The sequence below is a fragment of the Homo sapiens genome, chromosome 11 (assembly GCF_000001405.40).
Source record: "Homo sapiens chromosome 11, GRCh38.p14 Primary Assembly".
NCBI classification, from domain to species: domain Eukaryota; kingdom Metazoa; phylum Chordata; class Mammalia; order Primates; family Hominidae; genus Homo; species Homo sapiens.
In genome coordinates, this window is record NC_000011.10 from 2,431,696 (window position 1) to 2,458,521 (window position 26,826).

Genomic DNA, 26,826 nt, shown 5'->3' on the forward strand with positions numbered 1-26,826 from the left:
GCCCCCTCTTCCCACTCAGATCTCAGCTCTCATGTCCTTCCTCAGAGACCCCCTCACCCTAGACCACATCAGCACAGGGTGCCTCCCTCGGTCTCTTCCCCTGTGATCTGGTGTTAGTTTTCAGTATGCCTCACCCTCTGAAAGGTCTTTCATTTACTTTTTTGCTTGTCTGTGTCCCCTGCATGAGACTATGGCCTGAGCATTCCCTGCCACCTCCCTGGGGCCCAGAACACGCAGGTACAGACCACATGTTCTAAAGTCAATGAATGAATGAGTGAATCAATGGGTGAGTGTCCAGGCGTGTCTCTGTGTGAGCACTGCCATCAAGGCAGAGACGGAGGTGTCTAGGGGAGGCTGCATTTTTGCAAGGAGCAACTTCCTGGCCCACACTCACGCCCTGGGTGGAAGGGCAGACACTGGGCCGGGGCTCCACTGTCTGCCCGCTCTAGCCATGGGCACTGCTGCCAGGGGAGGAGGTGCCCAGGCGCTCACCTGCGTCCATGCGTGCTGTCATGAGGGACATCCCAGCTGCCGACAGAGCAGCCTCTGCCTGCCCTCTACAGCGGGTTTCCTCCAGCGGCCTCTGTCTTCTTTGCTACAGTTGGCCCCGGGCAGGCTTTACGTTGGAACTTCCTTTGGAGGAGAGGCCACGCCAGTAGAGCAGGACTCCAACAGGGCCCAGCCCCTGCCCCCACGGGGCCTCTATCCCTGGGACAGCAGATCCCCTTTGGATCTCCAGCAACCCCAATGGCTGACTGCAGAGGCTCAGCTCTCTCCTGCCAAGCCCTGCCATGCGAGGCTGGGCCCACAGGCTCAGAAGCTGACCCCAGTGTCCAGGAGAGCGTGAGCCGTCCCTGACCGGGGTCCTCGGGCCTCTGCTGAGAGAGAAGGAGCTGCAGGCTGGCTCCCCACCTGCACCACAGGCAGCCTCCCCCCAGGCACATCCTTGGGTGCCATGTGGCATTTTATTTACAGAAAGATTTGCAACCCACTTCTTCTTTGTCTTAGAGGGGAGAAACCACCACCCAGAGTAGGGCCCGCTGGCCCAGGGTCCCCATGCCAGTGTGGTGGGCGCCCCCAACCCAGCATCTCCCTCTGAACCACACACAGTCTAGCCCCAGGTGGGAGGGAAGCAGCCCGGAGCCCCTCAGACAGGAAAGCTGATGGTGGGGGCGTCAGGTCTGACCCCTCGGGGGGCAGCCCGAAGCCATGCAGTGGGGCAGCAGGGCCATGGGCAAGCTCTGCCAGTGGTGCCTGTGTCCAAGGCCTCCGGGCAGATCCTGAGTGCCCAGCAGTGGAGACCAGGAGTCCGGGAACCAGTGGAGCCGCACGTCCGTCCCCACTCCATTAAGTTCCCTGGCCCGGGCAGCGCCTGCAGCGTGCCACTGCTGTCTCGGCACCATCCTTGCAGCATCACCTTTTGCCTGTCCTTCTACTCTGGGAGGGCAACCTTGACCCCATCACAAGATGTGAACAGAGGTAGAGGCCGTAGGGGCCAGCGAGGCCAAATGACCTGCCCATAGCAATGCCGCCATGAGGCAAGGCCCACGCCCTCTCCCCTGCTGTCCTGTCCTGGAGCTTCCACAGCTGCAGGAAGACGTCCCCCTACCCTGCTCCCCGCAGAGGGTGCTTGGCGATCAGACAGCAGATCTGCAAAGGAAGGTGTAGCCTTCTTAGTGTGCGCAAGGGCTGCCCGGCCAACTCCACCATTGAGGGCAGATGCTGGCTGTGGAGAGGCCGAGCGCTGCCCGGGCCCAGTGGCTGGGGTAGGGGGCTCCATGCACTGTCCATGAGGGCATGTCCATCTGGCATATGTGCACCTGTGTGAGTGTGCTGTGTGTGGAGCGGGCACTGGGCCAGTGGTCAAGGCTGCAGTAGGACTTTCAGTGATTCCAGATCCTGTCTGGAAATGGGGATCATGAGAATTCCTTCCACTGAAGGGTGCGTAAGGCCTGAGCCAGTGTGCCTGGAACGTCCTGAGGACCAGCGGGGCCGGGGCCAAGACCTGGACAGGGCCTGGGTAATTGCGAGAAGCAAGGACCAGCGTGTGCCTGTGTGTGTCACTGTGCGCACATGGTGTGTGTGTGTGCATGCATATGTGTGGACACCGTGGGCATTTCTGTGTGGATGTTGTGTGTGTGTAGCTGCACTGTGTGTGCGGACAGCAGGTGTGCCTGTGGGTGTGTCTGTGTGACACTGTATATGAGTGTATGTAGACATTGTGTGTGGCTGTGTGTGGACACAGTGTGTGAGTGTATATGTGTGTGTAGGTGGACTGTATGTGTCTGTGTGGATCTGTGTGGATGCTGTGTGTGTGTATGTAGACACTGTGTGTGGCTGTGTGTGTGGACGCAGTGTGCGCGTGCATGTTTGTGTAGGTGCACTGTGTGTGTCTGTGTGGATGCTGTGTGTGAGTGTATGTAGACACTGTGTGTGGCTGTGTGTGTGGAGGCTGTGTGTGTAGGTGTACCATGTGTCTGTGTGGACGGTGTATGTGTGTGTATGTGCACCATGTGTGTCTGTGTGGACGCTGTGAGTGCATGTGTGTGCGTGGACACTGTGTGTGCGTCTGTGTGGACACTGTGTGACTGCATGTGTGTGGCTGCACTGTGTGTGTGTGGACACTGTGTGTGCAAATGCTGTGTGTGTGTGAATGTGTGTAGGTACACCGTGTGTGTCTGTGTGGATGCTGTTTGTGAGAGTGTGTGTGTGTGTAGGTGCACTGTGTGCGGACACTGTGTGTCCGGCTGTGTGTGTGTGTGTGGACACTGTGTGAGTGCATGTGTGTATAGCCGCACTGTGTGTGTGTGTGTGGATGCTGTGTCTGTGAGAATGCTGTGTATGAGTGTGTGTGAGTGTATGTGTAGGTACGCTGTGTCTGTGTGGACGCTGTATGTGAAAGTGTATGTGTGTGTGTGTAGGTGCACTGTGTGTGTGTGGACACTGCATGTGTGTCTGTGTGGAAACTGTGAGTGCATGTATGTGTAGCTGCACTGTGTGTGTGTCTGTGTGTCTGTGTGGACACTGTGTGTGTGTGTCTGTGGTGTGCAGGTGCTGGAAGGCAGGCTCTGCAGGTGCAGCTGGAGCTTCAAAGTGTGAGCATTGGGCCAGGAGGACCACAGCCTGGCTGATCCAGGGGAGAGAAGTCGTTTCTGAGGTTCTGGAAATGACAGCCATTGGGAAGCACCACACCGCCACTCATCCATGAACTCAACCATCCGATCACCCATCAGTTCATGCAGTCATTGGATACAGATTTTTGCTATTCATTTATCTACTTACTTTTGTAGAGATGTGGTCTCACTATGCTGCCCAGACTGGCCTCAAACACTTGGACTTGAGCAATCCTCCCACCTCGGCCTCCCACAGCACTGGATTACAGGCATGAGCCACCACAGCCGGCCTGGGGAGAGATTTATTGAGCGACTTCTATGTGCCAGGCACTGTGTCAGGGGGAGACACAGACAACAAGCAAGGGGATACGTGAGAAAGAAGGAAGATCAATCGATGATTAAGATGGCTATGGAGAAAAATAAAGCAGGGGAGGCCCAGCGGCTGCAAGATTTTATTTTTAAATGGGCGGGTCGAGGAAGAATTCATGGAGAGGCTGCCATCTGTGCAAATAACTGGACGAAGGGCGGCCCATCTGCTGGTCTATCCACCCACTCACTCACCCACCCACTCATGCACACATCCACCAGCACATATGCACCTCCTCACCCATCACCACCCACCCAGCCATCCAGCCTTCCACCAGCCTGCCCACCTGTCATTCACCCATGCACCCATGGCAATCCATCCCTCCATCCGTCCATCTGTCCATTCGTCTGTCCATCCATCCACCCGTCTGTCTGTCGATTCATCCATCTATCCGTCCATCTGTCTGTCCATCCATCCATCCATCCATCCATCCATCCATCCATCCACCCATCCACCAATCTATCCATGCATCCATCTGTCTGTTCATCCATCTGTCCATGTGCATCTGTCCATCTGTCCATCTATCCATCCATCCATCCACCAATCTGTGTATCCATGTATCAAACTGTCCATCTGTCCACCCACCCACCCATCCATCCATCTGTCCATCTCTCTACCCGTCTGTCCATCACTTCACCCACCTGTTTTCTCCTCTCTCCAGTTACCCACTCACCACTTACTAACTTCTCCACAGTGCCTAGTCTCTCCAGGATGGCGAGTCAGTCTCTGGTCTCAGGATGCCCACACTCTGGGGAACAGGCAGCAGGTAGCCATGGGGGATTGGCCAGAGCACCCCAAGAGCGTAGGCAGTTCTCGTGGTTTCTCCCCAGCCAGCGTATCTCCCAGAAGAGGTCACTATCCTCGAGGCCAGGAGCCTCACCTTCCGCTCCCCTGACCTCCCCCACACCGTAACCCAGCAAGGCTGGGAATTCAGTAGGTGCCCAATAAATCCCGGCAGGCTGGCTGAGTCATCCCACCTCCTCCTCCCCTACTGATCACCCATTCAGCTCCTGGCCCCATTGCCCAAACCCTGCCAGCCTTTGGGTGATCTGCTCAGCCGCCACCTCACATCCACTCTCAGCTCGGGGCCAGCTCTGGGCTCCAGCCCGTGATGGGCCATGGTGGGCTTCAGAGGGTGAGCCCCCCACACCATTGTACCAGTCTGGCAAGACGGATGAGTGCCCTGGTCAGTAGTGGCCCACCTTGGCCTGGAAGGATGTAGGGACAGGCTGCCCACCCCCATTTGCCCTCCTTCTCTGAGTGGCTAGGACAGCCACCACCACTCTCCAGGGAGGGGAGGGGCTGGCCTGTCACACGTCCCGGACAGGCCTGCCTGGGCCCAGGAAAGGGCTATGTGTGTAGGTGGCAGGCTGCTGCCCTGGGCAGGGGCCCCGCCAGGGCTGGGGAGGCCTCAGACCTTTAGATTGTGGGGCTGGTCCCCAGCACTCCCACTGGGGGTGGGAAGCTTGGCGGCCAGTGACGGGAGGGTCAGCAGAGGGGCCCGTGCTCCTGGCTGAAGCCAACCTCCCACACAAGGTGATGCCGACAACTCCAAGAATCGATGCTGTGTCAGGAGCAGTCTCCGGAAGTGATTTCCGCCAGATGGGCTGGGCCCAGGTGGGAATCTGGGAGCTTCCCCAGAACAGGGAGCATGAGACCAGCTCAGAGAGTCTGCAGTGACATCAGATGACCTAACCTCAGATCAAAGTGAACGCAGCCAGAAGCACCCCGCTCGCCCACCTGGGCACTGGGCCGAGACCCTGGGTCCTGGGCTGGGAGGAGTGAGTGTGGGTGTGTGACCTTCAGGGAGGGCCCCGCCACCAGCCATGAGCCCACAGGGTGTAGCTCCCCACCTCTCTACTCTGCCCCACTGCTTTCTGTCCTGGGTGCACCTTTCCCAGCCTGCTGGATCCTGCTGCTTTAAGGCTGCCTGTCTTAGGAGAAGGGATGGGGGATCCCCAGGTCCTTCATGGTGACAAAAAGGCTCTTTCACACATGCACACCTACACATACTTGCACACATGTGGGCAGACACACATACAGCCTCAGTCTTCCCTGGCTGGTTCCCAGCTTGTCGTCTTGGAAGAGGAGGAGGTGGGGTACACCCAAGCTGTGAATTGGGAGACAGGTCATGACACACCCATCTCCTACATCTCCTGATTTCACAGGTGAGAAAATTGCCTTGGTGGGGAGCCCTGGCTTCAGTGTGCATGTGGACCTGCTTCTGGGTGGGGGGTGCCTTTCTCTATGAAGGTGTGTCTGTCCTGCACCACTGTGGGATTCAGGAAGGCAAGGCCTCTTGTGCAGTGTGTGGGGCACAGTCAATGCCGGTGCTGACTGTGGAGTGACCATCTGACATAGCCTGCAATCAGGAAGGACCATGTCAAGGCAGAACTGAAGGACCCTGAGCTAGTTCTGGCTCTGTCCTGCTGTGGTGCCCAAACTTGGGGACCCTCAGGACATTCCAAACCTCAGGGTCTCCTGCACAGGAGAGAGGGGAGTACACTAAAATGCAGATTCCTGGGGCCGACCCAGCCCCACTGTACTGGGTCTGCATTAGAGGCTGTTTACAGAGCCCCCAGGCAACTGCCCTGGGGTCCCCTCCCAGACCTGCTGGTAGGGGTGGGTCTGAGCTGACCGGTCTTTATGAGCATGCGGGGGCAGGTAGTTAGGGAATAGGTGAGGCAGTGATGAACCAGGAACCGCCTGTGGGGTTAGGATCAAGAACAGGGGCTTGCTGATGAACGTAAATATAAAAATCCTCAACAAATACTAGCAAACCAAATCCAGAAACACATCAAAAAATTAATTCACCACAGTCAAATAGACTTCATTCCTGGGATGCAAGGTTGGTTCAACATATGCAAATCAATAAATGTGGTTTGTCACATAAACAGAACAAAAAAACCATATGGTCCTCTCAATAGATTCAGAAAAAGTCTTTGAAAAAATCCAAACATCCCTTCATGATAAAAACCTGCAACAAACTAGCCATCAAAGGAACATACCTCAAAATAATAAGAGCTGTCTATGACAAACCCACAGTCAACATCATATTGAACGGGCAAAAGCTGGCAAAAGCATTCCCCTTAAGAATAGGAATAAGACAAGGATGTACACTCTCACCACACAAAAAAATTACCTAGGAATACATCTAACCCAGGAGATGACGCATCTCCACAAGGAGAAACACTCCTGAAAGAAATTGGCTGGATGCAGTGGCTCACACCAGTAATCCTAGCATTTTGGGAGGCTGAAGCGAGCGGATCACTTGAATCCAGGAGTTCGAGACCAGCCTGGCCAATATGGTGAAAACCCCAACTCTACAAAAAAATACAAAAATTAGCCAGGCATGGTGGCATATGCCTGTAGTCCTAGCTACTGGGGCGGTTAAGGTGGGAGGATCACCTAAGCCTGGGAGGTTGAGGCTGCAGTGAACCAGGACTGTGTCACTGCACTCCAGCCTGGGTGACAGAGTGAGACCCTGTCTTAAAAAAAAATTACAGATGACACAAATGGAAACACATTCCATGCTCATGGATAGGAAGAATCAGCATCATTAAGATGGTCACATTGTCCAAAGCAATCTACAGATTAAGCGCTATTCCTATTAAACTACCAACGTCATTTTTCACAGAATTAGAAAAACTACTCTAAAATTCATATGGAACCAAAAAAGAGCCAGAATAGCCAAGGCAATCCTAAGCAAAAAGAACAAAGCCAGAGGCATCACATTACCTGACTTCAAACTAATGTTCAAGGCGACTATAACCAAACCAGCATAGTACTGGTACAAAAATAGACACATAGACCAATGGAACAGAATAGAGAGCCCAGAAGTAAAGCCACACACCTACAGTAATCTGATCTTCAACAAAGTCAACAAAAATAGGAAATGGGGAAAAGACTCCATATTCAATAAATGGTGCTGAGACAGCTGGCTTGCCATATGCAGAAGAATGAAACTGGACCCCTAATTTTCACCATATGCACAAGTGACACAAGATGGATTAAAGATTTAAATGCGAGACCTCAAACTATAAGACTACTAAGAGAAAACATCGGAAATACCATTCTGGACATCAGCGCTGGGAAAGAATTTATGATTAATTTCTCAAAAGCCATTGCCACAAAAATATACATTGACAAGTGGGACCTAATTAAGCTAAAGAGCTTCTGCACAGCAAAAGAAACTATCAACAGAGTAAACAGACAACCTACAGAATGGGAGAAAATATTTGCATCTATGCATCTGACAAAGGTCTAATATCCAGAATCTATAAGGAACTCAAACAATTCAACAAGAAAAAAATAAATAACCCCGTAAAAATTGCTCAAAGGAGATGAACAGATGCTTCTCAAAGGAAGACATCCATGCGGTCAACAAGCATATAAAAGAAAGCTCAACATCACTAATCATTAGAGAAATGCAAATCAAAACCATAGTGAGATACCATCTCACACCAGTCAGAATGGCCTTTGTTAAAATATCAAAAAACAATACATGCTGGCAAGAGTGAGCAGAACAGGGAACGCTTATACACTGTGGGTGGGAATGTAAATTAGTCCAGCCACTGTGGAAAGCAGTTTGGAGATTTCCCAAAGAACTCAAAACAGAAGTTCCATTTGACCCAGCAATTCCATTAATTCCTGGATACATATACAAAAGAAAAATCATTCTACCAAAAAGACACCTGCACTTCCATGTTCATCGCAGCACTATTCACAATAACAAAGACCTGGAATTAACCCAAGGTGCCCAACAGTGGTAGACTGGGTAAAGAAAATGTGGTATATACACACCATGGAATACTATGCAGCCATGAAAAAGAATAAAACCATGTCATCTGCAGCAACATGGGTCCAGCTGGACACCATTATCCTAAGCAAATTAACTGAGGAACGGAAAACCAAATACCACATGTTCTCACTTATAAGTGGGAAAGTGGGAACTAAATGATGGGTGCTCATAGACATAGAGGGACAACAATAGACACTGGGGACTGGTAGATGGTGGGGGAGCAAGCGTTGAAAAACTATTGGCTACCATTGTCACTATCTGGGTGATGGGATCATCCATACCCCAAACCTCAGCATCACGCAATATACCTATGTAACAAACCTGCACACATACCCTCTGAATCTAAAAAAGAACAGCAGGGCCTTAAATGGGGTGATGCCTTACAGATGTAGGGCATCATATCCATAGGAGACATTCGCCAGGCATAAGGATCCTCTGGAGAGACACATCAGCTTGAGGAATACAGGGTGGTGGCTCTGTCCAGCCACCCTGCCCCATCTCCTACCCTCCCATCCATTCTGCATTGGGTGCCTCCTGCATGCAGAGTCCTCCTCCAACAGCAAATGCCTCCCAGATTTGCTGAAGGGCCTGCTCCAGGGTCTCTGTGGAGACGCCCCTGGGACCCTTGCTGACCACCCTCCACAATCTGCACCCCCATCCTGTGCCCCCTTCGTTTTTTTTGTCCCACCACTACCTGGTGGTGAGACAGCTCTGTAACCTGCGCCTAGAACAGCGCCTGGCACTCAGCCGGTGCTCTGCGAGGATCTGGGGGAATGAACGAATGATTGAATGAATGAATAGGTAGGAAGACTACCTGAAGGAGGATGTTGGCCAGGAAGCCTGTGGTGGCCTGGCTGTTCTAGCAGCCCAGCCCTGGCCCGCAGATGCTGATCTCACAGCAGCCACACACCCTTCCCTTGGTCAGCCTCAGCTTCCCCATTCCTCATGCATTCTTGGTGACTTCTGAGGCTCCTCCCACTGTGGGCCTCTGACCCTGCTGGAGGAACATGAGGTGAGCCTGGTGAGCTGAGGGATGTCGGCAAACAGCCCTGGAAGGTTGGTGTGAGGTAGATTGAGTGCCATGTTTCCAGAAGGTTCTGAGGCTCTGGGACAGCCTGAGAGCCTGAGAGGCTGGGAGAGGGTTGCCTTCCTGTTCATGCTGGCTGATAGGTCTGTCAGTCTTTGCATCTAGGACAGCCAGGGCTGGACATGTGCACCCACCGGAATGATAGAGGAGGGGCTTTCCTCAGTGGAGGGTGTGTCCTGGAGAGAGCAGGTGGCAGCTGGGAGGCTACAACCCTGCGGTCCTGCTCCCTCAGCTGATGGGGGCCCTCCTCACCTCCTTGCTCACACAGAGAGTGGCCACTGGGCTCGGTCAGGCCCCACTTGTATTGTCTGTCCTACCAGGCCATCCACCCTTACTCCCCCACCCTCAGCCCTTGGCCTCACCTGAGCCCACACCCAGCCCAGCCCAGCCCCACCTTACCTCACCTGCGCACCTGGCCTTACTCCCTCCTCTCAGTTCCCCACCCATCCCCCTTCAGCTCCTTGGAGCTTGCAGGGAGCTTGAAGACAATCCCTTGTCCAGTCTCTCTCCTGCCTCAGTGTCCCCAAGCCAATGGGACCCCATACCCCCAGAGCAGCAGGCTGTGGCACAGCTCAGGGCCCAGGAGACAGCCCTGGGGGCCTCCAAGAAGCCTCCCTAGTGAGTTATTAGAATTTTTTTTTTTTAGATGGAGTTTCGCTCTTGTCACCCAGGCTGGAGTGCAGTGGTGCGATCTCAGCTCACTGCAGCCTCTGCCTCCCGGGTCCAAGTGATTCTCCTGCCTCAGCCTCCTGAGTAGGTGGGATTACAGGTGTGTGCCACCACACCCAGCTAATTTTGGATTTTCAGTAGAGGCGGGGTTTTACCATGTTGACCAGGCTGGTCTCAAACTCCTGACCTCAAGCGATCAGCCTGCCTCGGCCTCCCAAAGTGCTGGGATTACAGGTGTGAGCCACTGCATCCGGCCTAGAATTTTTAAAATATGGAGGCTTGACCTGCCTGACCGCCCTGCCTTTTCACTCGTTTTCAGAATAATGAGCAAAGCAACCTGCAGAAGATCAAATAGGATTTTTCAGTATTATCATGAATGCATGGGCTTTTCAGCTATTTGATGTGTTTTCATCCATGACTCTTTCTGATGCTCAAATTGTCCCATTGTTGATCAGCCCCTTCTCAAACTTGACAATGAACAATAGTAGGATATACCTTTTTCCTAAGATAAAATAGCTGAGGAGTCTATGCTAATATAGTCCATTCAATTTAAGGACTGGTTTGTACTTCTTTGATTTTTTAAATCTGTATCACTTTTATACTGAAAATCTTGGTTCCAAAGGAATTTAGCATCATTCTTTGATACACACACACACACACACACACACACACACACACACACACACACAGAGTTCTTTGGGATCCTTTGGTTGAGTATTAGTGATCATATTGATCATGGCACTCCATCGTGTGACTGTACCACAGCACAGCTGAAGCGATTGAAGGACATTGTGATTGTCTCTAGACTTTTGCTAATATAAAAAATGCTGTTTTGACTATCATTATGTATATGTACTTTTCTATTTTTCCTACATATCTTTGGGTTATTTCCTAGAAGTGGGGTTTCTGTGTCAAATGATACATTTAGTAATATCGCTAGGTCTCTTTTCTACCAGTGATGAGGAGTGCACCTGTGCCTGCTGCCTCTCCCACAGAGTTGCCATCAAAAGTCTGGATTTTTGCCAATCTGATAAGCAAGCAGTGGTATCAGAGTGTACTTTTCATTTGCATTTTTCTTGTTATAAATGAGGTTGAACATTTTTTCATAAGTGCAAAGGTCATGAACCCCATTTCCTATGAACTGCTCATGTCTTCTGCTCCCTTTTCTATAGGACTGTCTGGCAGGTTCCTCACCTCAGTTTTGATGTTCTTTATGTATCAGTGATATTAATCCTTTGTGATCGAAACTGCAAATACTTTTCCCATTTGGTCATTTGTCTCCTTTACTTTGCTAATGGTGCTTCTATTTTAATTTTTCTTATTTTATCTGTTGCTTTTGGATTTCAAGTCATAGTTGGAAATGTTTTCCCGATTCACAGGTTCTTGAGGAATTGACCTGTACATTCTTGTAGAATTTGCATGGCTTCATCTCACCCTTTACACTTGAGCCTCTGATTCATTTGAGATTTATTCTCGTGTGCGGTGAGATGGACCCAAGGTATGCTTTTTCTTTCTTTATGACTGTCCAGTTGTCCAAACGCTGCTTATTCAAAGCTCACCTTCCTCCTGCTGAGGTGGGAGGGGAAGGCAGAGACTCCATGCAGGTGTATGTATGTTCACCCGGAAAGTAACTGCTGAATGCGTGCTGTGTGCCCTGCAGAGCTGACTGACTGCCCCCATCTTCTGACCCGCTGCCCTTCTGCACCTTCACTGATATGCTTCCCAGGAAGGTACCCTCTCCTCGGCCTCCCTTGTGTTATCACAGCGCCCAGCACAAGCTGGGACCCACTCCATCCACTCTTGCTGCAAATACAGACTGTGCACTCCTGTGTGGCACCTCACTAGGGTGGGGAGTCAGGCGTCAAGGGCCTGGGCTGGACTCCGTCCACGATAAAAGAGCAGACTTTTGGCAGGGGGTGGTAGATACATCAAATTGACCCAGGGTGCTCAGGGACGACCTGGAAGTGTCACATGAGTTATGGGTCTCCTGGCGGGGCGGAGAGTCACCGCTGAGCTCCACCTTTAGTCCCTGCCTCAGGGCTGTGTGCAGTATCCTGAAAAAAGCCGGTCTCTTCTGTTGGCTGCCCCCCACCCCCCCCCCAAGCCTGAGACGTGCTGAGACCCAAATGCCAGTAGCGGGCGGGAGGCAGTGCAGAGACCTGTGAAAATCTTCCGATGTGACCAACCCACCCCCACCCAGGGGAATCCACGGGGCGCAGCGGCAGCGCGGTCTCGACGGTGGGGAGGACAAGGCGCCCATTCTCCAAGTTACTAGGGTGGCGCAAGCGCCTCTCCCTTTAACTGCCCAGGCAGCCCCGCCTGCTATGCCCGGCAGTCAAACCAGGTCCAGACCCCGGCTGTGCCGCCCCCACCCCCCAGCAGCCCTGCCGGCTCCCCACCCACACAGCTCCCACTGGGAGGTACCTGACAGTGGTGGTCCCATCTCACCCTCCCGGTCCAAGGGCCCTGGTGGGAAGCGACCCGAGCGTATTCGCCGCCCGCAGCTCGCGCGCCTGGGCACCCGGGGGCGCTCACAGTGATCGCGGGGCCAGCACACCCTCACCCAGGACATCCCTTTCCTCCCCCCAACCCCAACTCCGGAGTGGCTCAGAGGGAGGGAAAGTAGATGCCGGCACCCTACCCCGCCCCTCCTGCCCCCGCTGTGCCGTTCTCGGTCGTGGTATCGGCCAGGCCTTACCCCTTCCTCCCTGGCGCAGCTGGGGTCCTCCTCCGGGCCAGGCAGAGCAGGCGGGCATCAGAAGTGGGGGCCAAGCAGGTGGGTGAGGGCAGGGCAGGAGCAAGCAGGGGAGATGCAGACGGGGCGGGGCCAAGCAGGTGGGTGAGGGCGGGGCCAAGCAGGTGGGCGGGGAGGGGGCGGGGCCAGGCGGGGTAAATGCACACTGGAACGGGGCCAAACAGGTGGGCGAGGAGGGGGCGGGGCCAAGCGGGATAGATGACACGAGCGGGGCTAAGCAGGTGGGCTCGGGCGGGGGTGGGGGTGGGGGCGGGGGCGCAGGCGGGGGCGGGGGCGCGGACAGGCCAAGCCAGGGGGTGAGGCGGAGGCAGGGCCAGGCCGGTCCGTGGGGAGAGGGCGGGCCAAGCCGGTGGGCGCGGGCAGGGACGCCCTGTGCGCGCCGGACCGGCGGGGGCGGGGCGTGCAGGCGGGGGCGGGGCACGCCGTCCCATGGGACCGGCCCTCGGCCACTGCCCCCTCCGGCCCCGCCCCGAGCGCCCGGGCTGGGCCGGCAGCGGCCCCCCGCGGCGGGGCTGGCAGCAGTGGCTGCCCGCACTGCGCCCGGGCGCTCGCCTTCGCTGCAGCTCCCGGTGCCGCCGCTCGGGCCGGCCCCCCGGCAGGCCCTCCTCGTTATGGCCGCGGCCTCCTCCCCGCCCAGGGCCGAGAGGAAGCGCTGGGGTTGGGGCCGCCTGCCAGGCGCCCGGCGGGGCAGCGCGGGCCTGGCCAAGAAGTGCCCCTTCTCGCTGGAGCTGGCGGAGGGCGGCCCGGCGGGCGGCGCGCTCTACGCGCCCATCGCGCCCGGCGCCCCAGGTCCCGCGCCCCCTGCGTCCCCGGCCGCGCCCGCCGCGCCCCCAGTTGCCTCCGACCTTGGCCCGCGGCCGCCGGTGAGCCTAGACCCGCGCGTCTCCATCTACAGCACGCGCCGCCCGGTGTTGGCGCGCACCCACGTCCAGGGCCGCGTCTACAACTTCCTCGAGCGTCCCACCGGCTGGAAATGCTTCGTTTACCACTTCGCCGTGTGAGTATCGCCACCGGCGACGGCCGGCACGAAGGTGCTTCCTGAGAGCTGGTGTGGGGGAGCTCTGTCCCAGCGCCACCTGCCCCGTCGGAGCTGCGACCCCGGAGCAGAGGAGGGAAGGAAGTGGGGAAACGCAGAAACACAAACTCTGCACTCTCCCTTGAAGTTCAGAGGCGCTGCTGTGTCTGGGGGTGCGCATCTTCTCGCAGGCCCGGCGTGGGGAGGGAGCCGGCTGGGGAGGGGACCACCTGGAGCCCAGAATTTGGCTCCACACCTCCGGGAGGGTAGTCCAGGTGTGAATCCTTCTGGGAAGAGAAGCGTGCTGGGGAGCGCACCCTTGGGTGCAGTAAGATAACTCCTCAAGGTCGGCTGAGACTCGAGGCTCAGGAGCCCCCAAGAGAGAAGGCCCCTGATGTCCGGTGCCGCATCTCAGACCCCCTGAGGCCCAGGTGGACTCTGGGGCAGGGGGCTGTCCAGGATAGGAAGGTGACGGTGGCGGTGCTCCCTGAGGGCTCAGCATGCCACGGGCCGTCCCCACGGGCCCCACATTAACTAATTGAACCAAGCTCATGAAAACCTGGCTTGATGCAGAGAGCGGAGAGGCACGTTTGCAGCTCTCACTAAGAGGCAGCTGTGCTCCCGGAGAAAGCAGCGCTGGTAGCAGAGGCACCTGGCCCCCCTGTTACCAGGTGGTTCCAATTCCCGGTACAGCGTGCCTGAGCAGGGCTGGGCACTGGATTTCTCAGGGACAGGCCTGGGAAGTCACCTCCGGGAAGGTCCAGGCTGCTCTCCTCCATGCCTGCCTGGGGCCTTCCCCCGCTGCCCCAGTGGCCCTACTTCCTGGCTGCCCAGCCAGCGGCCTTTTGGTGTGGTGCCAGCCTCTGGCCTGGGAGCCTCTACCCAGACATCCCATGGCTGATGGCTGTGGGGCTCACCTGAGGGCTGAAGGGTGGTCTCCCTGAGCGTCCTCAGGTGGAAGCATCTCCTCTGCCTCGGGCAGGCTCAGTAGAGAACTGGCTGGAGGGCATCCAGAGGCCTGTCCATGCCTGCTGGCAGCTGCCACCAGGGCCTCAGGGCGGGTGACAGCAGGAGCCAGGCCCCAAATGGCTTCAAGCATCGTCTCAGGTGAGGGGGTGGGGTAGGGGTCGCAGGGCTACTGCCTTCCTTGCTAAGAGGTGGCCTTCCACATCAGGAAGGGGAAGTCTTACCCACCTCCCTCCTCAAAGATGTGGTTGGGGGGTGATCTTGGAGACTTTTCCCCACCCCAGCTCCCAAGCCCCTGTCTCCTGACATGTCAGTGGGTGCCTGAGCCACAGCCGCTGCTGGTCTGTGAGAGGAGCTGGCTCTGCTCGTGGCTGCAACAGCGGGGGCTCGGCTTGGGGTTTGGGAGATATTTGTGTGCAGTGACCCCAGGGGAACCCAGTCCGATGCCACTGTGCAAATGTCTAGCAGATGCCAGGTTCACAGGTGCTGTGTGCTGGTGGCCACCTGCCTCCCGGACCCCAGACTCTCTGAGATGTCCAAGGGTGGGAAGACCTCCTCAGCCAGAGGCCAAGGCAAAGTGCCCGCAGACCCCCTCAATTCTCACTTGTATTCAGGTTTGTGGACACATGCCTCCGGGCTCACTGCAGCCACCCGTGTGGAGGAAGAGGAGGAAGAGGGCTCGCCACGCCCCAGAGGAAGTCTCTGCTTGCACTTGTGTTTTCTTCCTCATTTGGATTGTTTAGGTCTCGGAAGTTTGCTCAGCAAGAGTCTACCTTCGCCCAGCCTCCGCAGAGCTGGCAAGGCAGGGGTGGCTTCTGGGGACAGGGGCAGGATGGCTTCTGTGAAGGGGTGGCCAGGAAAGGGATGCTTCTGTGAAGTGGCCAGATCTGGGGCTGGTCCTTTCCAGTTCTGGGTCCTGTCCTTGTAAGACGTGTGCCTGGCCCTGGGAAGTTGTCATGAACAGCCTCCAACCCAGGTACCTCCATGTGGGGTGGGACTGGAGGTGGACCCTGACTGGGCAGGACATGTGGCTTGGTGGGGGCCTGGGAGATGCGCTCCCACCCTCAGTGCCCTAGGAGGTTGGCAGGACCAGTCTCTTGAGGGGAGACCTGGTCATAGAACCAGGATGGCAGAGTAGCTGGAGGCCACCTGCAGCCTCACGAAATCAGGTCCAGCCTTGCGCCAGTCCAGCCTTGTGTTGCTGTAAGAAGTCTTGGCAATGGTGGCGGAGACAGGGCCCTGTCCTTAGGTGGATTGTGAAATGAGAAATATTGTGGTTTCTGGCCTGAAGACGACAAGCCTGGCCTTGAAGAGCCAGGGCCCAGGCATGTGTGCAGGGGGGTTGAGGCAGGAGCCGGTGTTCCGCTGACCCTACAGGGCTAGGGCGAACTCTCCTGTGTGCGCCTGGGGAAGCCAGCCAGGATATCCTGTCCCCTCCTCGGGGAACCCCCCCTCCCCAGGAGAGCAGCTCTTCCTGTGTTCCTTCTGGCCTCCCTGGGCTGGCCGGGGTGGACACGGCACCTGGGCCACAACTCTTGCCCGCTTAGGCTTCCTGCCCCCAACACCCCCAGTTATCTGTGGTTGCTTGCGCCCCCACTGGGGGCAGCTCCCATCTTAGCTGAGGGGATGGGGGTCCATACAGCCCTGCTGCACCCAGCGGTCCTAGCTCCCTTGCTGTGAGCCTTAGCCAGGGGTGTGGACATCCAGGTGGCATCTACTCTGGTTGCTGAGATGCTTGGAGATCCTGGTTGTGGCCAAGGAGAGGGATTTGAGGGGGGACCTGCAGTGCATGGAGACTGCCCCTGTAGGCTCTCAAACCTAAGTCTGGCTCAGCAGCCCCTGTTCCCCGCTCCTACAGCCTTGGCTTTCCCTGTTTCCCAAGAACTTTCCAGGGGTGTTGGCAGAACCCTCGCGGGTGCGTGTTAATCAACAATGGAGCCAGAAGCAGGTCCCAGAGGTGGATGGGGCTGATCTGGCTGCCTCCCCAAAAGACAAGGCCATGCAGAGCCAGCTCTCAGGGTGCAGCACCCAACTTTGTGGACTCCAGTGCCCTCCTATCTCCAGGCTCTGGCATTGGAGTCTGAAGCAGCTGCTGGGCAGTTGTTCTGCAGCTGGGCAGGGAGGCCAGAGGCCAAGGCAGGTGGTGGGGCTGGGCACAGAGGAGGACGGGGCTCTCTGAGCCATCAGGTCTCTTTCTCTCCATCTTCTTTAAGATCTGTCCACCCACTCCTCAGCCCTAGATTCCCAGGAAAACTGGGAATTCCTTTTGGGGCTTTTCCCAGTGCTACCTTCTGTGGGGCATGAGCCCTTGGTCTCATCCCCTGGCTGTCTGGGGTCCCCTCACCTACATCGCAGACCCGGCCCAGTGTTTCTAGATCCGCTCTTGCCAACATGTCGAGTGCCTAACTGTGGCTTCGTACTAGTTGGGGGGAACACAGGCATCCCTTACCCCTGGCCGTCAGCTGGGGAGGGGGTAGTCCAGGTGGCAAGAGCCTAGAGCCTGGGAGAAAGGGCCTCCCCAGCCTGTGTGGGGACAGGGGATCAGGAGGGTGGTAGGGACTTGGGTCCTTGCAGGTGGCCTGGGCAGTGCCTGGTGGGCATGGATCAGGTGGCAGGGCTTTGTGTCTGGGCATGGCCCTGTGGCTGGGCTGCCTTGGCCAGGGTCCTGGGCCTTCTGAGTCTGCGTCTCATTCTCTGTGGCAGGCTCCTGGTGCTGGCACCTTCAGTGCAGGGTGCCTCGGTTGGAGGGAACATTCACCCGTGCCTGGCACTGAAGCCACAGCTCCCTGTGGGCATGGTGCCCGCAGCTTGAGCCTACAACCCTGGGGTACTGGGGGCAGGAGGGTCCCTTTTTGCTTGGCAGTTGCGAGGTACTGGAACCTTTGCATATAACGTGCGGGCTGCGTTGTGTCACAGGGCCGGGTCTGAGGGAGGGGCTTTGCGGGGACACTCCTGGGTACCGATGGGATGAACTTCCGCTGGGCCTGAAGGCCTGGGATGCTTTTGGGCCGGCCAGTGCGGGGTCAGGTGGTTGGAGCCAGGGAGCTGGCACGTCAGCTGCTGCTATGAGTTCTGCCACGTGCCATCCTGGCATGTGGCACGTCTTGCAGAGGACAGGAAGGGTGAACAGCTCCAAACCCACCCTATGTGTGCTCCAGAGCTGGAAACAGGCTGTGCGGAGCTGAGTGCCTTTGGGGGCAGCTGAGATGGGCAGGAGCACCGTGCCCACCGAGGGTGTCAGAGTGACAGGGGTTGCCAGGCAACTCCACCCGGGTGGCTGATGCCCCCGTTTTTAAAGGCGTTGGGTGCCGAGAATTCCCCTCCTGCTGCTAGGCTGGTTTCAAGTCTGCTCCTTCTGCACTTGACGTCCTTGCCAGTGTGATCCAGAGCTGCTCACACGAGCAAGCGTCCTCGAGTCCTAGGGATGCTGTTAACAGGGCAGCGGGTCCAGGGAGCTGGTCCTGACGCAGGGGTCCTGATGCAGCGGGTCCAGGGAGCTCATGCCTTCCAGCGATGGGAATGCCACCGGTCCCTGTAGCCAAGGTGCAGATGCACACGTCCTGGTCCTGAGCCCCTGCTCGGCCCTAGGCAGGGCCCCCAGTTCCCTGCATTCCACCCGCCTTGTCTGGGAGGTGGACGAGCCCTCCGTAGCCCTGACATTCCAAACTGGCTTTTGGCCCCTGCGATATCTTGCTGTGATTCAAGACTCTGTCCACGGGCAAGAACAACAAGGCTGGGACAATCTCATCTCAGGCATCTGTGGGAGGAGACAGCTCCCAAGGGCGGTGATGCCAGGAGAACATTCCAGGCCCAGGAAGAGCTGAGAGACAGCAGATGCCCAAGACGAGTTGCTGGTGTGTGGCCAGTGCTGGGAGAGCATGGTGTCGGCCCGGGGAGATGCCGCAGAGAAGCTTCCAGAAGCCCAACATCTGCTGCTGGAGGGGAGAATGAGGCAATGAATATCACCATCCTGGGCCACTTTGACCCAGACCCCAAGGATTTGGTTACAGAGGGGAGGGCGGCAGCGTCTGGCTTCACTCTCGGGAGGTGCCTTGGGGCTGGCCAGTATGGGATTGCTGTCACTGTGGGTCACTCCAGCCCCGGATGCTCCTACACCATGCTCTGCTTGCATCTGGGGTCCCTGCGGGCACGTCGGTGAGACCGTCCTGGCCTCCACACCCCTTCCTGGTGGGTAGCTGTCTCTCTCCAGCAGCTCCTCCAACCACCATGAGAAACCCCAGACCTCACAGATGCAAAATTATCGTGGTTGACAAAGGGAGGCGGCTGGTGTCTCTGGTACTGGCTGGGTGACCACAGGGATGCCGCGTGACCCTAGTCCAGGGGGCCGCTTTTACACGAGGCATCTGACCATGTGATAGGGTGTGGCTTCTGCTGCCTGGCCCAGCCCTCTTCTGGGAGCCCCACGTGGGTGGGTGCTGGCTGGGGAGGGGCTTCTCTCTGGGGAGCAGGCCCTGGCTGGAGGTGGGGAAGATCCATGATGGGACCCAGGTGTCTTCCCACTTCTCGACCATCTCCTGGGAAGTTCTAATGTTTGGTTCAGGGTGTGGGGTCCATCTGAGCAGGCATGGTGCTTCCAGAAGGATCCAGGTTAAGGGTGGTGGGTCCAAGGGGGTGCCTGAGCCCTTCTGCAGAAACACCGTTCCCCGTAGAGCAGCAGTCCCCAACCTTTTTAGTACCAGAGACCTGTTTTATGGAAGAAAGATTTTTCCACCCGGGCAGTGGTGATCTTGGGATGAAACTGTTCCATCTCAGATCATCAGGTATTAGATTCTCATAAGAAGCGTGCAACCTAGATCCCTTGTGTGCGCAGTTCACAATAGGATTTGTGCTCCTGTGAGAATCTAATGCCACCGCTGATCCAACAGGAGGTAGAGCTCAGGTGGCCGTGCACATTCACCTGACGCTCACTCACTGCTGTGCGGCCTGCTCCCTAACAGGCCACGGACCCGGGGTTGGAGAACCCTGTCTTAGAGGATTGAGGCTCGGGGCCATGGGATCGGCACTGTCATTGCCCTTGGAGGGTTCTGAGCACTGGAAGGACCTGGCTGTGGTCCCAGGCACTGGGTGGATGGACCAGCAGAAAGGCTCCCAGGAGGGTCGTGGCTCCCTCATCGGCACCGGACTCTCAGGATGAGCCGCCTGGAGTCTGTTGGCATCTGCCTGGCCGCCTCTGGCAGGAACTTCTCCTGATGGAAGAGCCGGGCTGGGGAGCTGACTCCAGGACAGGCCCCTGCCCGCTCTGGGACCTGGGGCCTGGGCTCTGCTCCCCATTTCGCTCCTCCACTCACAGATGAGGACATTTGGGTCGCCTTACAGATGAGACAACTAGGCCTGGCCACTTTGCTCATGCCACACCCAGAAAGCCCTCAGGACACCCAGAAGCCCTTAGGATGCCCAGAAGCCCTTAGGATGCTGTGGTCTCAAGTGAGGTGGTGCACTATTCCTGGCCTCAGGCCCAGTTTGTATCCATGGGCACCCCCACTCCCACCTAGCACTTGCCACCAGGAAGCACCCTGAGGACTGTCCCCTTTGAGAGTTGGCTCTCAAAGCCTTGGTCTGTGCCTGCGTCCTGGCAGCGGGTGAGCTACGGCTGCCCTCACCCAGAGAGTGCAGGTTCCCTGGGGGCGGGGGCTCTTAGCTTTCCCTCCATATCTGCTAAGGTGCACACCTTTCTCTGCTGCCTTCCAAAATCATACTCTGGGGCGCACTGAAAGGGTGCTCTGAGTAGCTCTCCCCGGCTCCTGGCTGAACTTGCTCCAGGCAGAGATTTGAAGAGATTCAGAAAGCAGGAACCACAGGCAGAGCAGCTGGACAGGGACCCCCACCCCTGTACTCCCTTCGGCCCTGGAATGCTCCTCTGCATGGAGACAGCCCAGCTGCACTGGGACCCCTCACCCCACCCTGGGGCCAGGGGCTGTGTCCTCGACTTCCACGCAGAGCAGCCCGGGCAGCTTAGAGGAGGGAGCAGAAGGAGCTCTGACTGAGAGGGGTAGACCCCTCCCAGAGGCATCCCCACCCTGCCCCAAAGAGGGGAGCAGCTGGAGACGGGGCGGGAACCTCCTCTGGCTATATCTAAGCAGCCCCGGGAACCATGCGCTTCAAGCGTTTGATCTTGACGGGCCCTGGGCTTGGCATTCTATTCCGTGACGTCTCCAGCTGTTCTCTTGTGAAGAGTCACGTCTGTGCTCTTGGCTAGGATGGCTCAAATATTATAAAACATACAGCTTTGCTAATTAAAACAGCATGACATTGCCTTATAGGCAGGCAGATCACCAATGGAACAGCTTTTTAAAAACCGCATGTAACTCCATTGTATATGAAGTTTCGTAAAAGAGGCAGCATCTCCAACCAGTGGGGAACAGATGGGCGGCTTCATGCGTGCTGCGGGGTGGGTGGGTGGCCATGTGGAAAGTGACCAGACTGCACCCACTTGTCACATCACACACCAGGATAGACTCCCAGTGGGTCAGAAAACCACTTGGGTACCTAAAGAAAGCGCCTGGAATTCTTTACCCTGAGAGCGAAGAAACTTTTCTATGACTTGAATGCTAGATGCGTGGAGGAGATTTATGTGTTTGACCACATAAGAAAGAAGCAACCTTGGCTGGGTGCGGTGGCTCACGCCTGTAATCCCAGCACTTTGGGAGGCCAAGGCGGGCGGATCACCTTAGGTCGGGAGTTCGAGACCAGCCTGACCAACGTGGTGAAACCCTGTCTCTACTAAAAATACAGAATTAGCCGGGCGTGGTGGTGCATGCCTGTAATCCCAGCTACTTGGGAGGCTGAGGCAGGAGAATCACTTGAACCCGGGAGGTGGAGGTTGCAGTGAGCCGAGATCACGCCGTTGCACTCCAGCCTGGGCAATAAGAGTGAAATTCCATCTCAGGGAAAAAAAAAAATCTTAATGGGAAACAGCCAATTGCCAGGCTGGGGGAAGATGTGATGTTTCACGAAGGGTTAATCTGTTTACTACAGAAAGAGTTTCTGAAAACAGAAGAAAACCCACAGCCAGCAGGAGATGTGAATACCACTCACAGGACAGTGACCCACAGGGGGACCTTGAACATGTGAGAAGGTGCCGCCTTCACTCCTGGCGAGAGGGGTGTCGAGGAAAATGTCACTGAGGTCCCTTCTGGCTGGCAGAAATCCTTTGGCATTTGCTGGTAGGCATGCAAGAGGGTAGACTCTGTGAGGAAGGGATTTGGCAACATCTAGCAAAACTGTCTTCACTGACCTGTGACCCAGCAACCCCCTCCCCAGAACCTACCTGAAGGCACTGGCAAAGGCAGGAGAAGCTGCGTGTGCAGGGCTGCTTGTGAAAGTACTGTTTGGAAAACTGCAAATGCCCATTGTAGGAGACTGGTTGAATCAGAGATTTGTGGAATATTATGCAGCTGTAAAAAAGGAATGCATAGATCTCTCTTATTATGAAGTGATTATCAGGATTTATTTAATTATTTTTTTCAGGCAGGGTCTTGCTGTGTTGGCAAGGGTGGTCTTGAAATCTTGGCCTCAAGCAGTCCTCCCACCTCAGCCTCCCAAAGTGCTTAGATTACAGGTATGAGCCACCACACCTGGCGTATCAGGATGCTTTTTAAGTGAAAAAGCACAGTGAATAAAAATATAGCAGCTATTCTTCATCTGATAAAGGGGAGGATGCAAGTCTGGATGTATATTAAAAACGAAAGCAATGGAAGCCTCCAAATCTTAAAAGTTTACCTCAAAAGGGTGGCGGGGGGGGAGGTGGCATATGGAATCAAGATGCCTCTGAATGTACCTGGTTTTATAGATTTCACTTTGAAGCCATGTAAATCAATAGCTTGCGTAATTTTTAAAAAGCTGTTCGTAATCGCTTGGTGAAAAATCCCTAAATAAATCTTAACCAGAAAAAGTAGTCCCTCAAAATTGAAATGAAACAAATGAGCCTAAAAATGTGTGCTGAATTAGTGGCTTAACCACCCAGAAGGACTGATTTCAGGTGACATATTTCTAGCGGGTTACTGCTGAAGACAAATAGAGCTGCATGCAGTGGCCACATAATTGTTGTGATACTATTTGTTATATTATTCTAAGAGTGCTGCATGGGAATTGCAGGTTAAGGTAAGTAATTGTGTTGGTATCACCAAGAATGGAGGTTTTACAAAATATGATTCACATGTAAACAGAATTAAAAACAAAAACCGTATGATCATCTCAATAGATGTAGAAAAAAACTTTTGATAAAATTCATCATCCCTTCATTAAAAAACCCTCAACAAAAATAGGCATCAAAGGAACATATCTCAATAAGAGCCATCTATGACAAACCCATGGTAAATGTGGTACTGAATGGGTAAAAGCGAGACACATTCCCCTTAAGAATAGGAACAAGACAAGGATGCCCACTTTCACCACTCCTATTCAAAATAATACTGGAGGTCCTAGTCAGAAAAATCAGGCAAGAGAAAGAAATAAAAGGGGATCCAAATAGGAAAAGAGGAACTCAAATCATCTCCCTTCACCGATGATGATAAGATTCTATACCTAGAAAACCCTAAAGAGTCTGCCAAAAGCCTTCTGGAACTGTAAGTGAAGTCTCAGGATACAAAATCCATGTACAAAAATCAGCAGCTTTTTTTTTTTTTTTGAGATGGAGTCTCACTCTGTCACCCAGGCTGGAGTGCAGTGATGAGATCTTGGCTCACTGCAAGCTCTGCCTCCCAGGTTCACACCATTCTCCTGCCTCAGCCTCCCAAGTAGCTGGGACAACAGGCGTCTGCCACCACGCCCGGCTAATTTTTTGTATTTTTTAGTAGAGACGGGGTTTCACCGTGTTAGCCAGGATGGTCTTGATCTCCTGACCTTGTGATCCACCCGCCTTGGCCTCCCAAAGTGCTGGGATTCAGGCTTGAGCCACCGTGCCTGGCCAATCAGCAGCATTCTTATACACCAATGATGTTCAAACTCAGAGCCAAATCAAGAATGCAATTCCATTTATAATAGACACAAAAAGAATAAAATACCCAGGAATACATCTAACCAAGGAGGTGAAAGATCTCTACACAAGAGTTACAAAACACTGCTGAAAGAAATCATAGATGACAGAAATGGAAAAACATTCCATGCTGATGGGTTGGAAGAATCAATATTGTTAAAATGGCCATACGGCCCAAAGCAATCTACAGATTCAATGCTATTCCTATCAAACTACCAATGCCACTTTTCATAGAATTAGAAAAAACTATTCTAACATTCATGTAGAACCAAAAAAGAGCCGAAATAGCAAAAAAGGAACTAAGCCAGAGGCATCACATTACCTGACTTCAAACTATACTTCAAGGCTACAGTAGCCAAAACAGCATGGTATTGGTACATAGACATATAGACCAATGGAACAGAATAGAGAACTCAGAAATAAAGCCACACACCTACAGCCATCTGATCATCAATAAAATCAACAAAAATATGCCATGGGGAAAAGACTTCATATTCAATAATGGCACAGGGATAACTGGCTCCCCATATGCAGAGGAATGAAGTCAGACTCCTATCTATCACCATATACAAAAATTAAAGACAGATTAGACGTGGCCAGGCACAGTGGCTCATGCCTGTAATCCTAGCACTTTGGGAGGCCAAGGTGGGTGGATCATGGGGTCAGGAGTTTGAGACCAGCTTGGCCAAGGTGGTGAAACCCCATCTCTACTAAAAATACAAAAATTAGCTGGGTGTGGTGGTACGCACCTGTGGTCCCAGCTACCCGGGAAGCTGAGGCAGGAGATTGCACCACTGCGCTCCAGCCTGGGTGACAAGAGCAAAACTCTATCTCAAAACAAAAAAAAAAAAATTAAAAAAGATTAGATGTAAACATTAGATTACAAACTGAAAAAATCCTGGAAGAAAATAGTCTTCTCAATATTGGCCTTGGCAAATAATATATAGCTAATAAGTCCTCAAAAGCAATTGCAACAAAACTAAAAATTCACAAGTGGGACCTAATTAAAGAGCTGCTGCACAGCAAGAGAGACTGCCAAGGGAATAAACAGATAACCTACAGAATGGGAGAAAATATTAGCAAACTTTGAACTGACAAAGGCCTAATATTCAAAGTCTACAAAGAATTAACAAATCAACAAGCAAAAAAACAACCCCATTAAAAAGTGGGCAAAAGGGCCGGGCGCGGTGGCTCACGCCTGTAATCCCAGCACGTTGGGAGGCCAAGGTGGGCAGATCACCAGGTCAGGAGATCGAGACCATCCTGGCTAACATGGTGAAACCCTGTCTCTACTAAAAATCCAAAAAAAAAAAAAAAAAAAAAAAATTAGCCGGGCGTGGGGGTGGGCGCCTGTAGTCCCAGCTACTCGGGAGGCTGAGGCAGGAGAATGGCGTGAACCCAGGAGACGGAGCTTGCAGTAAGCCGAGATCACGCCACTGCACTCCAGCCTGGGTGACAGAGCAAGACTCGGTCTCAAAAAAAAAAAAAAAAAAAAAAAAAAACCCAAAAAAACAAAAAGTGGGCAAAAGATATGGTAGACAGTTCTTAAAAAGAAGACATACAAACAGTCAAACACATGAAAAAATGCTCATCACTGATCATCAGAGAAATGCAAATCAAAGTCACAATGAGATACCATCTCACGCCAGTCAGAATGGCCTTTGTTTAAAAAGTCTCAAAACAACAGATGCTGGAGAGGCAGTAGAGAAAGGGGAACACTTACACCCTGTTGACGGGAGTGTAAATGAGTCCAGCCACCATGGAAGGCAGTTTGGAGATTTCCCAAAGAACCAAGAGTTGAACTACCATTCGATCCAGCAGTCCCGTGTGCTGAGTTTATACCCAAAGAAAAATTAGTCGTTCTACCAAAAAGACATATGCACCTAAACATTCATGGCAGAAAGACATGAGTCAACTCAGGTGCCTGTCAATGGTAGATCGAATAAAGCAAATGTGATATATATACACCATGGAATACTATGCAGACGTGAAAATCATGTCCTTTGCAGCAACATGGATGCAGCTGGAGGTCGTTATCCTAAGTGAATTAATGCAGAAACTGAAAACCAAATACTGCGTGGTCTCATGGATTATAAGTGAGGGCTAAACATCAAATCCATGTGGACATAATGATGAGAACAAGAGACACTGGGGAATACAAGAGTGGGGAGGGGGGAAGGGGAGCAAGGTTTGAAAAGTTACCTGTGGGTGCTGTGCGCACTACGTGGGAGACCGGATCGTTTGTACTCCAAACCTCAGCATCATGCAATATACCTTTGTGACAAACCTGCACTTGTACCTCCTGAACCTATTAAAAAAGTTGAATAAAATGGAAACTTTTGGCATGGGAGAAAAAAAAAAAAAACAGATGTAAGTTAGAAGAGGTTACGCAAAAATCCTCCATCCCTGCATTTGAATGAGGACTATCAGTATGCATCCAGGATGACGTTTACTTAAATATCTCTGTTTCCTGGAAAGGCCCAGGACCAAGGACCACTCAGCAGCTAAGAGCATCTCTAGACCCCAGACTGTGGCCTCTAGGTACCATTTCCCCCTGAAAGAAACCAGGGCCCCTGGCGGATTCCAGGTCTGTGGCAGAAGATGTGCAAGCTAAGCCTGGAGTATTCATCACAGCAGAAGGCAGGGAAGTTATCAGAGGCCCCCTAGGGCCATGTCACTGGAACTTGAAGGGGTCCTTGTCTTCCCCCTTCTCCCCAAGCTGAAGATGCAGTGGGTAAGCCTCACTGAAAATAACAGAGGAAGTGGATGAGCTGCATTGATGGGGTTCAGATCCCAAGTTCATCCTGATACTGAGGGGCAAAACCAGTGGACTTTGATTTGCATTTCTCTAAAGATCTGTGGAGGTCAATAGGGAGACCGCTCATGATGTTGAATCCTGGCAAGCAAACGGAGAGAATCTGACATGTGTCCCAGTCGTGATTAACCTGTGAACTGTAACTCGGGGAAACCCAGTAGCTGATGGGGTTGCGTCCTTCTTTGGGACTCCCGCAGATGCCTGAGGCGGCAGTGCTGCTGAAGTCCTGCCAGGCTCCAGCTC

At 54.1% G+C, this 26,826-nt stretch overlaps 2 protein-coding genes across 5 annotated transcripts in view, besides 2 other annotated features; one reads left to right on the forward strand and one right to left on the reverse strand.

The window, feature by feature from the left end:
- TRPM5 (transient receptor potential cation channel subfamily M member 5) overlaps positions 1-12,819 on the reverse strand; it is a 40,524-nt gene extending 27,705 nt beyond the window's left edge. Inside the window, exons 1-3 of the mRNA NM_014555.4 lie at positions 12,736-12,819; positions 3,283-3,403; positions 493-1,650 (exon numbers count right to left, since the gene is read on the reverse strand). The gene's annotated coding sequence lies outside the window, so the exon portion shown is untranslated. The remainder of the gene's footprint in view (positions 1-492; positions 1,651-3,282; positions 3,404-12,735) is intronic.
- Positions 13,113-13,222: a silencer, noted in NCBI's record as "silent region_3069". NCBI's record gives its function as "represses an Ori minimal core promoter by ATAC-STARR-seq in GM12878 lymphoblastoid cells {active_cell/tissue: GM12878}" and the evidence as "EXISTENCE:reporter gene assay evidence [ECO:0000049][PMID:35858748]".
- Positions 13,233-13,302: a silencer, noted in NCBI's record as "silent region_3070". NCBI's record gives its function as "represses an Ori minimal core promoter by ATAC-STARR-seq in GM12878 lymphoblastoid cells {active_cell/tissue: GM12878}" and the evidence as "EXISTENCE:reporter gene assay evidence [ECO:0000049][PMID:35858748]".
- The window catches only part of KCNQ1 (potassium voltage-gated channel subfamily Q member 1), a 404,098-nt gene continuing 390,584 nt past the window's right edge, over positions 13,313-26,826 (forward strand). For all 4 annotated transcript variants that reach the window (NM_001406837.1, NM_000218.3, NM_001406836.1 and 1 more), the window contains exon 1: positions 13,313-13,789. In NM_001406837.1, coding sequence (NP_001393766.1) covers positions 13,766-13,789 — 24 coding nt within the window. In that variant the 5' untranslated portion in view covers positions 13,313-13,765. The remainder of the gene's footprint in view (positions 13,790-26,826) is intronic.